Source organism: Homo sapiens, chromosome 9 (genome assembly GCF_000001405.40).
Source record: "Homo sapiens chromosome 9, GRCh38.p14 Primary Assembly".
Lineage (NCBI taxonomy): Eukaryota > Metazoa > Chordata > Mammalia > Primates > Hominidae > Homo > Homo sapiens.
The window spans coordinates 84,502,141-84,518,564 of NC_000009.12; the positions used below are offsets into that span (position 1 = coordinate 84,502,141).

The following is a 16,424-nucleotide window of genomic DNA, read 5'->3' on the forward strand; positions in this document are numbered from 1 at the left end:
CTTCCTGAACATTATCTCAGAGAGGAACAGAGCTTTTACTTCTTCAGGAAACAGCCATCCCTCCTGACTCCTGAGATGTGGACAGCATAGAAAGAGATAGTTTTAAATAGCACATATTGAACTCTGTGTTGTAAGGGCATGGGAAGCTGGAGGGTGAGGAGGGGGAAGTGGGAAGTTGGCATTGAGTGTGCTTGCCTTGTGCTAAGTGTTATGAAACATGAGTTCCATGTATATGTCTCATGAAATTGTCTAAGCAACAGAGTGAGGTAGTATTCTTACCCCACCATAGTTGAAGAAAAAGGGGCACAGACAGAGTAAATTGCACAAAGTCTTGTAACTAATAATGATGTAGCTAAGATTCCAGTCCAGGAATGTCTGGCTGAAAGTCTTCTGTTCTTTCCTCCATATCATCGTGGACATTAGGATTATGTGAGGGCCCTGGTGTTTCTCTTGATCTGGCTGGAAAAAATTCTCAAAGTATCAGAGTAAAGAAGAATGTGAAAGACAAAGCCAAACAACAACAACAAAATACCAACTGCCCTCTGGCCAAAAAAAAACTCAAACCACCCCTTGACTTAGAAAAAGTTATGCCCTTGGCTAACTTCAGTCAGCATTTTCTTTTAAGGTTGAAGTTAGACTCTGTCAATATCATTTTTAGACAAAGAAATGGTAAACTTTAAATAAGCAGGCATTTCAGGACCCATATTTTTTTTTAAGCTGTAGCTAGACTACAAATGCTGTTGACTAAAAAAAAAAAAAAAAAAAAAAAAAAGAAAAATCTATTTACAACCAATGCTGTGCTCTGCTCTGCTGTTCCATTCTATTCTTATCTGTTCATTCATTTATTCATTCCCTAAATATTAACTGAGGGTCTTTAATATAATGGGTACTGTTTTTGGTGTGATGGATTTACTATTGTAGAATTCAGTGTGGTATGTAGAATAATGACACCCTCCTCCCACAAAGATACCCATGTCCTAATCCCCATATCCTGTTAATGTGCCACCTTGCATGAAAAAAGGGACTTTGCAGATGTGATTAAATTAAGGATTTTGAGATTGGAGAGATTATCCTGGATTATCTAGGTGGGCTCAATGTAATCATAAGAGTTTTTATTAGAGGAAAGGATGAGTCAGAAAGAAGGCGATGTGATGATGGAAGCAGAGGTTAGAGTGATGTGCTTTGAAGATGGAGTAAAGGCCGACTAGCTAAAGAATGAAAGTGGCCTCTAGAATCTTGTATAGCAAGAAAACAGATTCTCCCCTGACAATTTCAGAAGAAACACAGCCCTATCAACACCCTAATTTTTACTCTCATAAGACTCATTTTGGACTTCTGACATCCACAAATCAAAGATAATAGATTTGTGATTTTTTTTAAGTGACTAAGTAGGGTTACATGTTACAGCAGCAATAGGAAACTAACACAGTCAGGATAGCTAGAGTATGGTACAGTAACAAACAGCCTCCAAACCTCAATGACTTAATACAACGAAGATGTATTTCTTATTTACATTAGAAGTCTAGTGAGGGCCGTCAGGGGGCTCTGACCATTGTCACCAGCCACTTACCCAGCATGATGAAGACTCCATCAGAACATGCGCTTCTGTAACCACTTCATCTTTATTTGGCAAATCACACACTAGTTCATAAACCTTCCTCCTGGAAGAGACACACACACTTTGATTCAGCTTTTATGTGATCAAAACAAATCACATGTCTGTGCCCAACTTTAATTGGAGAAGGGACATCTAATCCTACATATGGAGAAGAGGGGAACTTGAAATTTGGGACCAGCCCTGGTGACTCCCCCAACTAAAGAAGAGTCAAGATCCCTAGGCTCATGAAATTTGTGTTCCTTGGAAGATAGGGACTAACAAACAACAAAAACAACCCTAGTAAATAACAAATGGGTCAATTTCAGATCTTGATAAATGTTATGGAGAGAAGAAAATAGGGTAACGTGACAAAGTAACTGGTGGCTGGTCGTCGAGGGAGGACTATGAAGATGTACATCTGAATTGGGAGATGAATGACAAGGGTCAGTCATGTAATGGTCTTGAGACAGCATGGTCCATAGGGATCCAAAATAACTATTTTCCATTCTACATTAAGAAAAAACAAAAACATTGGGGAAAGATATTTCATTCAATCTGTTTCTATGAGACTGAACAAGTCTTAATGGCTGAATGAAGATTGATGGTACACAATGGCTCTCAGACTGAAGAAGATTTCTTTACAAAGTTTTAATAAACCAGGATTTTCTATAAAATGGAATGCCCTTCCTGCCACTGGAGCCTGGAGCCATTCAATTTAGATGGGTTTCCAAAAGACTGGTTAACATTTCCCTGGAAATGACAGGAAGGAAAGTCAGACAGTGAAGGACTCAGCAGGGAGGAATGACTGAGCAAAGGAACTTGCTGCAGTGCTGGACTTGAACTCCTTGGCTGCATGACTCATTTAAAGCACCCAAGGTTTTGTCAAGGGAAGGTAGTGGTGAATAGACGGGAGAAGAGTCCACTGGACATCTGCGATAAACTAGCTGCCAGGAAAAATTGTCAAAACATCCAGAGTATTAGCAAAGGGTCAGGGGCTTCTGTTCTGGACACATCCAGAAAAATAAATAGCTTTGGATCTTGTTGGGTGAAGTTGGAAGAAAAGAGGATTATGCTCTCTAATGGAAGGCGCAATCCCGGAGAGCTTTAAAACCCAGGGAAAGGAGACATTGAAAGGCAAACTCTCTCTGGAGAATGGAGCAAGAACAGCCTAAGGTCATCTTAGCTCCTTCACCAAGACACTGCAGTGGGGTCTGCAGTAGGAACATGATGCCTGCTCACAGTGTGACCTAGAAAAACCCGGCTCCTCTGTTCATCTGGCCCGTGTTTCCCTCTGGGTCACTAGGAGCCTGCCTCTCCCCCAGGTGCGTTCTTCTTCATGGAGGAGTCTTGGAGACCTCTCCTGCCCTTCCCCTTCAACAGCCGACAGCACAGGGCCAGATGCTGCCCACCCATCTTTGAAAAACCTGGACATTCTCCTGACTGTCATCAACAAGTGAAAGGACTCATTCTGGAGTAAGGGAAAGAGGATGAGATTTAGGATTAGGGAAACTGGGTTTGGATCTTGACTTTTCTTTGGCTGAGACTCTTTCACAGAGTTTCGATAAATCAGGATTTATTGAAGTGAAGTGCATGTCTCACTACCATGTAACCTAACTGAGACCTTCTGGCTGACCCAGCAAATTCCTTCTCATCTGCCAGTGGGCTACAGCCACTGTCTTTGTCCCTGTGATTCTTTTGTGGATCCCTTTCAAAACCTTATTTTGTGACCCGCTTGCTGCCTGATGATCACATTTGGTAATATCCTTCTCCTTAGGAGCAACTTTGACCCCTAACGACGTGGCAAACCTTGTCCTATGCATTCAATAAGACAGACCTGTTAGATAACTACTTCATAAATCTAAATGTTGAACAGGAGACACATCGTTTGGGGTAGCATATAAGAAGCAGGCTAGAGTTGCTACTTAAAATCAAATATCAAATTCTAAGCAGTTGCCAGGGATTGGCGTGCTGGATAAAATGTGGATTCTTGGCAAGCAGAATTAGGCTCTCTTCTTGTAGCAGATGCCTCTCATGTCCCACATCACGTTCCATTGGCCCATCTCTGATTTCATCTCTAGTTTCAGTGAGCAGTTCTGGGTAAGCTTGACAATGTTCCACCTCAAGCGCATGCCTGGGCCTTCTCTGATGTCATGTAGCCCACTTGTATTAGTCCATTCTTGCATTGCTATAAAGAAATACCTGAGACTGGGTAATTTATAAAGAAAAAAGGTTTAATTGCTCATGGTTCTGCAGGCTGTACAGGAAGCAAGATGCTGGCATCTGCTTGGCTTCTGGGGAGCCCTCAGGAAACTTATAATCATGGTGGAAGGCAAAGCAGGGAGCCAGCACTTCACATGGCTGGGAGCAGGGGCAAGACAGAGAGAGAGGGGCAGTGCTACACAGTTTTAAACAATCAGATCTTGTGAGAACTCACCGTAGTGAGAACAGCACCAAGGGAGATGGTGCTAAACCATTTGTGAGAAAGCACCCGATGATCCAGTCACCTCTCACAGCCCCCACCTTTAACATTGGGGATTACAATTCAACATGAGATTTGTGTGGGGACATAGATCCAAACCATATCACGCTCAACCAGCATGAAAACAGCCTGGCAGTGAGGAGAGGCCAGTGCTCCTAGGACCAGCTCTCAAAGGAAGTGGACGCCTGAAAATAAATGCTCCAGAAGCCCTTTGCTCAGATGGGCTATTCTGGGAGCTCTCAGAATCGGGAGGTTTTGGCAGAATCGATCTGTTCCCAGTTGTGGCCTTTCATTACCCTGTGTGGAAGGGAGAATAATGGATCCCTAAGATGTTCTAATATGAATCCTCAGAACCTGCGAATATGTTAATGGGCAAAGGGATTTTTCAGATGTGACTAAATTAAGGATATGGATTATCCAGGTTGGTCCCATGTAATCACAAGAGTCCATTCAAGAAGGAGGCAGGAGGGTCAGAGAAAGAGATGTGACAATAGAAACAGAGGTCAGAGTGATGCAGCCATGAGCCAAGGAATGCAAGCAACAAAAGCTGAAAAAGGCAAGGCATGAATTCTTCCTTAAATTCTCCAGAAGGAAAGCAGCACTGCCATTACCTTGATTTTACCTCCATATATTACTTTCATAGGGCTATTCTAACAAAATGCCACTATATTGTAATTTTTTACAGCAGCAATAGAAAACTAATACATGTCCCAAATAAACTACTGTATATAAGTCCTCTCTGACTCTGCTTTTAGGCGTTCCTGTATGCATATCTTGTTGTATTGAAACTTTATTGTACTGTACTTTGCAGATATTGCCTTTTTTTATTTTCCAAATTGAAGGTTTGTGGCAATGCTATGTTGGGCAAGTCTATCTATTGGTGCCATTTTTTTGAGACAGGGTGTTGCTATGTTGCCCATGCTGGTCTTGAACTCCAGGACTCAAGTAATCCTTGTGCCATTTTTTCCACCAGCATGTGCCCACTTTGTGTCTCTGTGTCATAGTTTGGAAATTCTCCCAACACTTCACTTATTATATCTGTTATGGTGATCTCTGATCAGGGATCTTTGATATTACTATTGTAATTGTTTTGGGGCACCACAAGCCATGCACATATAAGATGGCAAACTTAATCAATAAACGTTGTGTGTGTTCTGAGTGCTTTACCAACCACTTGTTCCTCTGTCTCTGTTTCTCTATGTCTCCTTGGGCCTCCCAATTTTCTCAATTTCCTGAGATACAATAATATTGAAATTAGGCCAATTAGTAACCCTACAGTGGCCTCTAAGAGTTCTAGTGAAAGAGTCAGATGTCTCCCACTTTAAATCAAAAGCTAGAAATGATTAAACTTAGCAAAGAAGTCATGTCAAAAGCCAAGATACAATAAAAGCTAGGCCTCTTGCACGTAACAGGTAAGTTGTGAGTGCAAAGGAAAAGTTCTTGAAGAAAATTAAAAGTGTTACTCCAGTGAACACATCAATGCTAAAAAGCGAAACAGCCTTATTGCTGATATGGAGAAAGTTGCAGTGGTCTGGATAGAAGATCAAACCAGTCCCAACATTCCTCTAAGCCAAAGCCTAATCTGGAGTGAGGCCCCAACTCTTCAATTCTGCGAAGGCTGAGAGAGGTGTGAAAGCTGTTGAAGAAAAGTTGGAAGCCAGCAGAAGTTGGTTCATGAGGTTTAAGGAAAGAAGCCATCTTAACATAAAAGTGCAAGGTGAGGCAGCAAATGCTGACGTAGAAGCTGCAGCAAGTTATCCAGAATGTCTGACTAAGATAACTGATGAAGGTGGGAACACAAAACAGATTTTCAAAGTAGATAAAACAGCCTTCTATTGAAAGAAGATGTAATCTAAGACTTTCATAGCTGGAGAGGAGAAGTCAATGCCTGGCTTCAAAGGTTCCCAGGATGGGCTGAATCATTTGTTACGGACTATTGCAGCCTGTGACTGTAAGTCAGTGCTCATTTACCATTCTGAAAATCCTGGGGTCCTTGAGAATTAGGCTAAATCCACTTTGCCTGTGCTCTATAAAGGGAACAACAAAGCCTGGATGAAAGCACATCTATTTATAGCATGGTTTCCTGAATATTTTAAGCCCATTGTTGAGATTTGCTGCTCAGAAAAAAAGATTTCTTTCAAAATATTATTACTCAATGACCATGCACCTAGTCATCCAAGAGCACTGATGGAGATGGACAAGGAGATTTATGTTGTTTTCACTCAGGCTTACACATGTCCATTCTGCAGCCCATGGATTGAATACTAATTTTGACTTTCAAATGTATTTAAGAAATACATTTTTTTTTTGAGATGGAATCTTACTCTGTTGCCCAGGCTGGAGTGCAGTGGCAAGATCTCGGTTCACTGCAACCTCTGCCTCCCAGGTTCAAGTGATTCCCCTGCCTCAGCCTCCCGAGTAGCTGGGATCACAGACATGCGCTACCACACCCAGCTGATTTTTTTTTTTTTTTTGGTATTTTAGTAGAGACAGGGTTTCACCATGTTGGCCAGGCTAGTCTCGAACTCCTGACTTCAGGTGATCCGCCCCCCTCGGCCCCCCAGAGTGCTGGGATTACAGGCGTGAGCCACTGTGCCTGGCCAAGAAATACATTTCTTAAGTCCCTTATGGCTATATCTGTCATAAACAGTGCTTCTTTTGATGGATCTGGGCAAAGTAAATAGAAAACCTTCTGAAAGGGATTAGCTATTTTAGATGCCATTAAGAACACTTGTAATTCATGAGAGGAGGTCAAAATATCAACATTAATAGAAGTTTGGGAGAATGGATTTTGACTCTCATGTATGACTTTGAGGGGTTTGAAACATCAGTGGAGGAGTGACTTCAGAAGTGGTGGACATAGAAAGAGAACTCGAATTAGAAGTGGAGCTTGAAGATATGACTGAATTGCTGCAATCTCATAATAAAACTTGAACAGATAAGTTGTTTCTCATGGGTAAGCAAAGAAAGTAGTTTCTTGAGTTGGAACCTGATATTGATGAAGATGCTATGAACATTGTTGAAATGAGAACAAAGAACTCAAGATATTGTGTAAACTTAGTTGATAAAGCAGCAGCAGGATTTGAGAGGATTGACTCTAATTTTAAAAGACGTTCTACTGTGGGTAAAATGTTATCAAACACCATCACATCCTACAGAGAAATCTTTCATGAAAGGAAGAGTCAATGGATGTGGCAAACATTATTGTCTTATTTTAAGAAACTGCCACAGCCACCCCAACCTTCAGCAACCAGCACCATGATCATCAACCACCAACGTCGAGGCAAGACCCCCACCGGGAAAAAGATTATCGCTCGCTGAAGACTCAGATGATTGCTAGCACTTTTTAGTAATAAAGTATTGTTTAATTAGATTATATACTTTTTTTAGCAATAAGGTTATTGCACATTAGTAGACGACAGTATAGTGTAAACAACTTTTATATGCATTGGGAAACCAAAAAATTTATGCCACTTGCTTTATTGCAATATTTGCTTTACTGTCATGGTACAAAGGTTGGGAGCCTGGAAAACATATTTCCTACAATCCCATGCCACCAAATTCTGGAAGCAAATTAAATTCTGCATTTGAGATACATTGATGAGGAGTCGGGCAATGGGAGACAGGTAGAAACTTCATTCTTCTCTGCCAGTGATGCCAGACATGAATTTGCGCAGCAGCCTCTGGATTCCCCTGACATTTGCCTGCCCCATGGCTTTTGGTTAGAGTCAATAATGAAGAGGTTTTTGTTTGTTTGTTTTGTTTTGTTTTCCCCTGGTTCCTGTATGCTGCAGGTAGTAGTCATCTAACTGTCTGGTAGTCCTCCTGATTTGCATTCTCCAGCCTTTGGCAACATTAAAAAAAAAAAAAAAGCTTTACTGAGGTGTAATTTACACACAACAAGTTTACTCATTTTAAGTACACACTTTGATGATTTTTTTTTTTTTTGAGACGCAGTTTTGCTCTTGTTGCCCAGGCTGGAGTGCAATGGCGCAGTCTCGGCTCACTGCAACCTCTACCTCCTGGGTTCAAGGGATTCTCTTGCCTCAGCCTCCCAAATAGCTGGGATTACAGGCGCCCACCACCACACCCGGCTAATTTTTATATTTTTAGTAGAGATGGAGTTTGACCATGTTGGCCAGGCTGGTCTCGAACTTCTGACCTCTGGAGATCCGCCCACCTTGGCCTCCCAAAGTGCTGGGACTATAGGCATGAGCCACCACGCCTGGCCAATATATATACATATTTTTAAGAGACAGAGTCTCTATCACCCAGGCTGGTGTGCAGTGATATGATCATAGCTAACTTCAGCCTTGAACTCCTGGGCTAAAGTGATCCTCCTACCTCAGCCTCCAGAGTAGCTGGGACTACAGGTGTGTGCCATCATGTTTGGGTAATTTTTTTTTTTTTCATTTTTTTGTAGAGACAGAGTCTTGTTGTGTTGCTCAGGCTGGTCTTGAATTTGCCTCAAGTGATCCTCCTGCTTTGGCCTCCCTAAGTGCTGGGATTATGGGCATGAGCCACGGTGCCTGGCCTGGTTTTATGAATTTTGACAGATATGTACAATCAGGGAAGCACCATCATATTGTTTCCCTTTCCCCCTTGGCAATCAATTCGCCCCAATCCTGGCCCAGGCAACAACTCATCTGCCTCCTATCACTCTATCTTCCTTTCAGTAGTCTGAAAACACCCAACTTCTGATATGAAATCACTTTCTGCTGGAAACTGGTTTCTGTTTCTCTGATCGAACTGTGCCTGGTACAGGAGGACTTCACTATGGGAAGCCAATTCCTGCACATCATCCACTATTAATAAAGAAACAAAACCAACATTTGTGCAGTTACAGAGAAGTGGTTAGACACCTGGAGCATATTCTCTGTTTCTGTAGACCCAGGTGCTTAGACTCCTGAAGTTCCAAAACATCTTTCCGGAATCGAAGGCTGCCATGAGATCAGAGGTGCCATCTTTGTCAGGGTGGGTACAGGCTGTGTGGCGTGACTGAACTCCAGGGGCAGGGCCTTTGGTTCAAGATGACTTTGTCGATGTTTCATTACCCTCTCAGTCCATGGTTGGCTGTGGTAGGAGTCACAAGACAGCATGGAGTATGGCAATGCTTTTCAAAGTTTCCTTTTTAATAATGAGACACTTAGGTTAAAAAAAAAAAAAGTATGTGAAATGCCAACAGAGAAAGCAGATAAAGGTAAAGCTGCTTTGGTTGAATTCAGGGAATAAGTGGCTTTCAGAATTTGCCCTGCTGTGTGGAAGTGAGACAGACCTGGTACACATGCTGGGGAGCCTTTCCTTAGTTGGAGAACCTGGGCAAGTCACGTTACCTCACCGAGTCTCAGTTTCCTCTTTTACAATTGGGCATAATTGTATCTCCTCATTTTGGAAATCATAAGTTTTAGACTTTACACATGTAAAGCTCTTAGCATGACCCTTAAACATAGTGGGAGCTTAAAAAATCTAGCTCTTATTTATCATGTATTTTATTAGTTACTTTTAGTAATAATTTTATTATTTATCATTCAGTTTTATTATTTATTATTATATGTGTCATGAGCAGTACAAGGTTAGAGATAGCAGGTCCATGCATGTTTGTGTCTTTCCACAATGTCAGACCTTTACTGATGCTATTTCAATTGCAAAAGCCATGAGCTACATAGAGTTGCCAAGGAGGCAGTTCTCCTTAGTACTCTGTGTTCACTCAGCAGTCAGAGCCGTGGGCACACAGATTCAAGCCACACCACAAGTCAGCCAATATTGCAAACCATACATAATAGTACACTTAATCAATATATAAGTGTTATAGATTAAACATTCCACGACAAACATTTAACATAAAGAGAAAAAGAGATAGGAGAAAGGGTTAACGAACCAGTCTAGGGAGAGCAAAGAAGACAAAAGTAGTCTTGGTTTGGGCTGGTTGGTCTTGCAGGGAAGTCTTTGATGTGGCAGAGCCTTTGTAGGCAAATGCCAAGTTCTTACCATGAGTGACAGCGGGACAGTTGTCAGTTAAGATGGCTGATTCTAGCTGCTAAAGGCCAGCTCTTTGATGGTCACAGGGTCCTCTGGGGAGAACTGACGGTGGAAGTGTGTACTTGTTTATGTCTTTATGTGGTGGAATGCAGTCTTTATTTTTTATTTGTTTGTCAGGCAAAACATCTTTGTTGGCAAGGTGCCCTACGAAATGTAAAATGGAGTCTTTTCCTAAGATGGAGTTAGTTGCATCAAGGGTGCTCCATATAATATGATAGGTCAGTTTAGCCTCTAAGCCATCAGCAATTAGCCAAGTTCAGTAAGCAAGGACAACAGACTCTCAGGGAGTCTGTCAGTTATGCCCCCAACAATGCTGCATAACAAACCAGCTCATGACTGAGTGACTGAGAGCAGCAATCATTTATGCTCCGTGGATCTGCAGTCAGCTGATGCTGACTGAGCTCTGCTTCTGGTGCCTCTCATCCTTTTCTTGCCACCAGCCGGTTGACTCTTCTGGATTCAATGGGCTAGTCTGGGCATGTTCTTCTCATGGCAATGGCAGAGGCAGAAGAGGGCAAGCACAATCACTCAAGAGAGCATTTGATCATGTCATGTCCACTAACTTTCCATTTGTCAAAAGAAGTCACATGCCTGAACCTGAAGTTGAGGATCAGGGAAATATACTCCTGTTTTTCAGTGAGAGGAACTTCAAAGTCATATGGCAAAGAGTATGGATAAAGGTGGGGTGAATAACTGGGCCATTAATGCTCTCTCTTTCAGGGAGCATCTGGATTTAAGATGCCAACAGAAGAAAGAGGGATCTCATAGGGAAATGCTGAGGAGGAGCAGATAGGGATGTCAGAGGGGACCAGAACATGGCAGTGTCTGGGAAGTTGAGGGAGAAGGGAGATTCTAATAGTGTCCAGTGCTTCAGAGGGGACCCACAAAATAGGATAAGAGAAAAAAACTTGGTCAAAGAGAACACTGTTAATGACCTTAAGAGACTATCTAAACAAGCAGGCTCAGTTAATCTTTTAGTAGCAAGGCTGTGCTGGCTGATGATCTCCAGTCCAGAAATGAACGGTGTTTGGCTTGTTTTCTTCATCAAAAGGGGAAAAAGAAAACTTTGGCGAGTTATAATGCTGGCTCTTTATGAAATATTTTGATGTGCATTTTAAATGCACATAGGTACCTGATTTTCTGTGCAAATTACCCTTGGTGTAAGAAGTGAAAGTTGCTAAGGAAGCAATTAGAAAGGAGAAGAGTAATATTTACTTCAAGTTTGATGATTTGCTAGAGCATGCACATATCTAAAGGTAAACTGCTCTGAAATCCAAGTTCAATAAATAGAAAATATTAAAACACAATTGTTGATTAACTCAGTGAGCAAGTCCAGTGCACACATCATGCCAAAAAGATATTACCCAGCACAAGCTACACAAGGGGGGGTGGTTGCAATCACAGGGCAAAGTGTACGCAGGTGGTGAGGATTGGGTAATGAGATTGAGCTAATCAAGGAAAAATTCTGTGACTTCACACACACAGAGTATCTTAAATTAGAATTGTAGTTGGCAGTTGCATAGATACCTTTCTTTGCAGTCCCCAATGTGGGAAAAACTTTTTTCTATTTTGATCCAGTACTGAGAGTATCTGATTTGGAAAACACAACTGCTTATAGCTTTTTGATTTTGTAATAAATGTTAAACCTTGGTTTTGACTAAATAGAAAAAGCCTTGGTGAGACCTTAACGGGTTTTGGGACCCCGTTTCTTAATGTCTTGTTGACCATTTTCTTGAAAACTCCTTCAGTTGCCATAAAATTTGCATTTCCACATCTTGAATGACCTTTACAAGTTTTATCAGCCAGAGTGGATAAAAATCACTCACCAGAATACAAACACATGGAAGAAAAAGAGACACAGGAAAGTAAACAACATGCATGACAGAACACACACAACTTAAGAGTGCTCACTGCTTGAGAGAGTGCTCAGTATGGGGCATAAATCGCCACTGGCCAAGTGTGTCCGTATGATCTGTCACTTACTCATGGTTCAGAGCAATGGGCATCATTCTGATTGTGAGAGGACATACTGTGTGTTGTAGTGGACTGCACTTTATATAATATGCACACACATTATACACATATAATTTATATATTTATAAAATATATGTTCCCATATCTATAAAAGCATTTAAAATACCTTTTGAATACACTATATATTGTGTACTTTTCCAAACAGAAATTATTTCAAAGACAAATAGAATTTTAATAAACCACCTGGGTAGATGTAGATGGCTTTTTTTTTCCCCATTGGGAGACTGCAGTTTTGCCTTTTCAACTGTGTTTTGTCACTAATTTGAAATTCTTCACTGCTGTGCCGTCAGTTGAGAGGAACGTTTGCAGATAAGCTCACAGAAACACCCAGACAAGAAGGGTTTTAAGTAGGGCAAGCGAGCTGGGTTGTAACAAATCCGAAACAAAATAATTAAGGACAGACAGCCTCATTTTATGTTTGTGAGATGACTTTGAGGGAGGAGGATTTAAAGGTACAGAGCAATGGTCAGGACTCTGATTTAAATTGGTCCACATGGGAAGTACCACGGGTGACAGTAAACATGAAGATGTCTCTGTCCCTTCAAAAAAAAAAATCTTTCTGGCTAGGCACGGTGGCTCACACCTGTAATCCCAGCACTTTGGGAGGCCGAAGTGGGTGGATTATGAGGTCAGGAGTTCAAGACCAGCCTGGTCAAGATGGTGAAATCCCGTCTCTACTAAAAATACAAAAATTAGCCAGGCGTGATGGTGGGCGCCTGTAATCCCAGCTACTCAGGCGGCTGAGGCAGAAGAATCACTCGAACCCCGGAGGCGGAGGCTGCAGTGAGCCACTGCACTCAAGCCTGGGTGACAGAGCAAGACTCCGACTCAAAAACAAAACAAAACAAAACAAACTTTTTTATTTTTCTTCACCTATTTGTTAAAATGAATCATGTCAGAAAGCTGTGGAGACTCTATAAAATGAAAGCAATTAGTGAATATGCCACAAAAATCATTTATATTATTTCCTCCCAATTCATTTATTATTTGACGTATGTTTTTTGATAGAGTTCAAATGCAGAGGAGTGTATTGTGGTGGGCTAATGGATGGAGAGTCCTGTAGGAGGGAAGGGTAGCTGTCAGGTCAGCAACCATCCCATTCCCAAAGCCTGTAGATCCCTGGCTCTGCCTCCATTGTCTAAAGTAGTTTATGCCTCTGGCTTATCTAAATACACTTTCTAAAACCCTCGCACTTCACTCTCTTCTACAAAAGAGAACTTACAGACACCAGGCAGTAGCCTGGCCCAGTGTAGCCATGCACATCAGGGCTACCTTCTTTTGCTCTTGGCCCTTGTACCTGTCCCTGTAGAGTGTCAGCCCAGGTGCATATGAGCCAGATTTGAGGAGCTTGGGCTGGTGGCATTGAACTTTGACAGCATCCTCTGCAGGTAATCTGCTTTTATGCCTTTGTTTACTTCTGGCTTTAGAGTAAACCATTACTTTGTTTTATTGTTTTTGTTTTTGAGACAGGGTCTTGTTCTGTCATTCAGGCTGGAGTGCAGTTACATGAACGTGGCTCACTGCAGCCTCAACCTTCTGGGCTCAAGTGATCCTCCTGCCTCAGCCTCCCAAGTAGCTGGGACCACAGGCACATGCCACCATACTGGGCTAATTTTTAAATTTTTTGTAGAGACAGGATTTCATCACATTGTCCAGGATAGTCTCGAACTACTGGGCTCAAGTGATTTTCTTGCTTCAGCCTTCCAATGTGCTGGTATTACAGGTGTGAGCCACTGCATCCAGCAGTAAACTATCACTTTGAAGATTCTAACTGTATCTTAGAGGAATTAAGGAGAAAGAGTTTTGTTGCTCCTATGTCAGGAGAGCATGGAGGAATTCAGGGCAAGGGTGGGGAGGGCTTGGCCTTACAGGTTCTTGGCTTAGAGGAGGTGAGACTGGGGCTGATGGAGGAGCAGGATAACTCTTCTCTAGATCTCTTTCCTGTAGATGGTTTGTATGTACAAATAAGGCAGATTGTGAGATTTCTGTATTGGGGTAGAGTCATTCAGGCTGTTGAGATGAGCTGCATTTACTTTAGAGAGAATCACATTTGCAGCATTACCTGTTAAAGCTCTTCATTAATTCTCTGTCTGTCTCTGCCTCTTTTTATATGTGCTGACAAGATGCACTGTTGATATTTTAAAAAGTTAAAAGGCTGGCAGAGTGGCTTATGCCTGTAATCCCAGCATTTTTTGAGGTGAGGCAGGAGGATCACTTGAGGCCAGGAGTTCAAGACAAGTCTGGGCAACATAGCCAGACACTGTCTCTACAAAAAAAAAAAAAAAAAAAAAAAAAAAATTAGCCAGGCATGGTGGGCATGGTGACACAACACCTGTAGTTCCAGCTACTTGAGAGGCTGAGGCAGGAGGATTGCATGAGCCTAGGAATTAGCGGTTATAGTGAACTATGATCGCATCACTGCACTCCAGCCTGGGCAACAGACCAAGATCCTGTCTCTAAAAAAAAAAAAGTAAAAAAAACTTAAAAACACAATTTTCATACGAATATAGAGTAAGTATATGTAAAAGATTTAACTAATTAATGAGGGCACCAGAAGGATGACAAAGAGGATATTAAGGCAGATATGAGACGCTGATATCTATATTGTTATTTATATCTATCTATATCCATATCTATAGCTACATATACATACATACATATATAGTGAGGAGGAAAGACTGCTGGGATAGGATCACACAAAGTTAATACAAAAGTAGTTAATAAAAAACTAGTTCCTATCCTGCTGGGCAATAAAGCTGTAAGTTTTGGGGTTACAGACTCTACCAGTTAGAAATCACTTGCCATTTATCAATCTACAAGGTAACATCTAACTTTACTCAGTCTGGGACTTTATCAGTCGTAAATGAGGAGTCAAAGAGAAGTTACATGCCCTAGAGCAGGATTGGCAGTTGAGAGCTGGAGCCCCAGCCTGCTCTGTGGAGCCCAGGAATACAGCACGCCTATTCATCTGTGCATCATGTGTGGCCGCTTTCGTGCTACTGTGGCAGAGTGAGTAGTAGCGACAGGGACCATATGTCCCACACAGCCAAAAATATTTACTATCTGGCCCTTTACAGAAAAAGTTTGCTGGCCCCTGCTCTAGAGACATAAGTCAGATACTCTGTAGGTAGCCTGTAAAGAAATCCTCTAGGATAATCCCAAAGGCCTGAAGATACTTTTGCCTTGTTTTCATGTTTGGTATAATTTTTTTCAACAATATTATGCACATGTACAAAGATGTGTGTTTAATCTTAAAAAACAGTTAAACCCTCAGTGAGTGAATATTCAAACTAGAGAGAATCTCACAGCTCTGGCTAATTCTTATTGCTCTTCAACAATTACTTTGCTCCAGAAAATACTCCTTGACCTCAAGTTGCACCCCACCCTGGCTGGGGGCTCCCAGTGTTTGTGTCTTTGTTTGCACTCTCTCTTTCTTCATATTCATGTGTCCTGCAGGACTGACTATGTAACTTGTGGGGCTGCAGTGCACAATGAAACTGCAGAGCCCTTGTTCAAAAATTATTAAGAATTTTAGGACAATGATGTAGAGAATTAAAGCAAGCACTGTCTGAGACTGCCCAGGTAACAATTCATAGCCCTGCCCTGGACCCACTCATTGGAATTTGACCTCTCTGTAGTATTCACCTTTGCCTCTCCACTGTACATAACAACATAGTAGGCACTGAACAAATATATTTTGTGGAATGTTATTAATTATTCAACAGGTGCTGTAAAAAGTGACCCCTTTGTTGATTGCATTTTTGAAATTCTATTAATTTTTGAGAATTTAGTGCAAAAAATATTTGTATGCACATATTTAAATGGAAGAGCAGATTATGATGTGTATTCAATATATTATCTGCATATGTTCACTTTTCACTTTTCTTCAGTTTTTTCTTTCTGTTTCTCAGACTCAATAATTTCAACTGTCCTATCTTCCAGTTCACTGATTCTTTCTTTTACTTGCTTGAGTCTGCTGCTGAACTCCTCTCCTGGCTATTGTTCTACTGGGTGAAGCAGGATCTTCATCCTCTGACAATGCTGTGTCAGTGTCTCTTCTGTTCTCTTGAGTCATTCTGTGTCTGGAGTTGGTTCCTTCCAGTGGGTTCGTGATCTCGCTGACTTCGAGAATGAAGCTGTGGACCTTTGTGGTGAGTGTTACAGCTCTTAAAGGTGTGCCACCCTTAAGAGTGAGCAGCAGCAAGATTTATTGTGAAGAGCGAAAGAACAAAGCTTCCATGGTGTGGAAGGGGACCCAAGTGGGTTGCCGCTGCT

General features: G+C 41.7%; 1 long non-coding RNA gene across 12 annotated transcripts in view, besides 1 other annotated feature; it reads left to right on the plus strand.

The window, feature by feature from the left end:
* Positions 1 to 16,424, plus strand: part of LOC102724036 (uncharacterized) — a 247,231-nt gene that overhangs the window by 92,340 nt on the left and 138,467 nt on the right. The window lies entirely within an intron of this gene.
* Positions 10,054 to 11,253: an enhancer, noted in NCBI's record as "MED14-independent group 3 enhancer chr9:87127109-87128308 (GRCh37/hg19 assembly coordinates)". NCBI's record gives its function as "activates an origin of replication core promoter dependent on BRD2, BRD4, P300/CBP and CDK7 cofactors, and independent of MED14, by STARR-seq in HCT116 cells {active_cell/tissue: HCT116}" and the evidence as "EXISTENCE:reporter gene assay evidence [ECO:0000049][PMID:35650434]".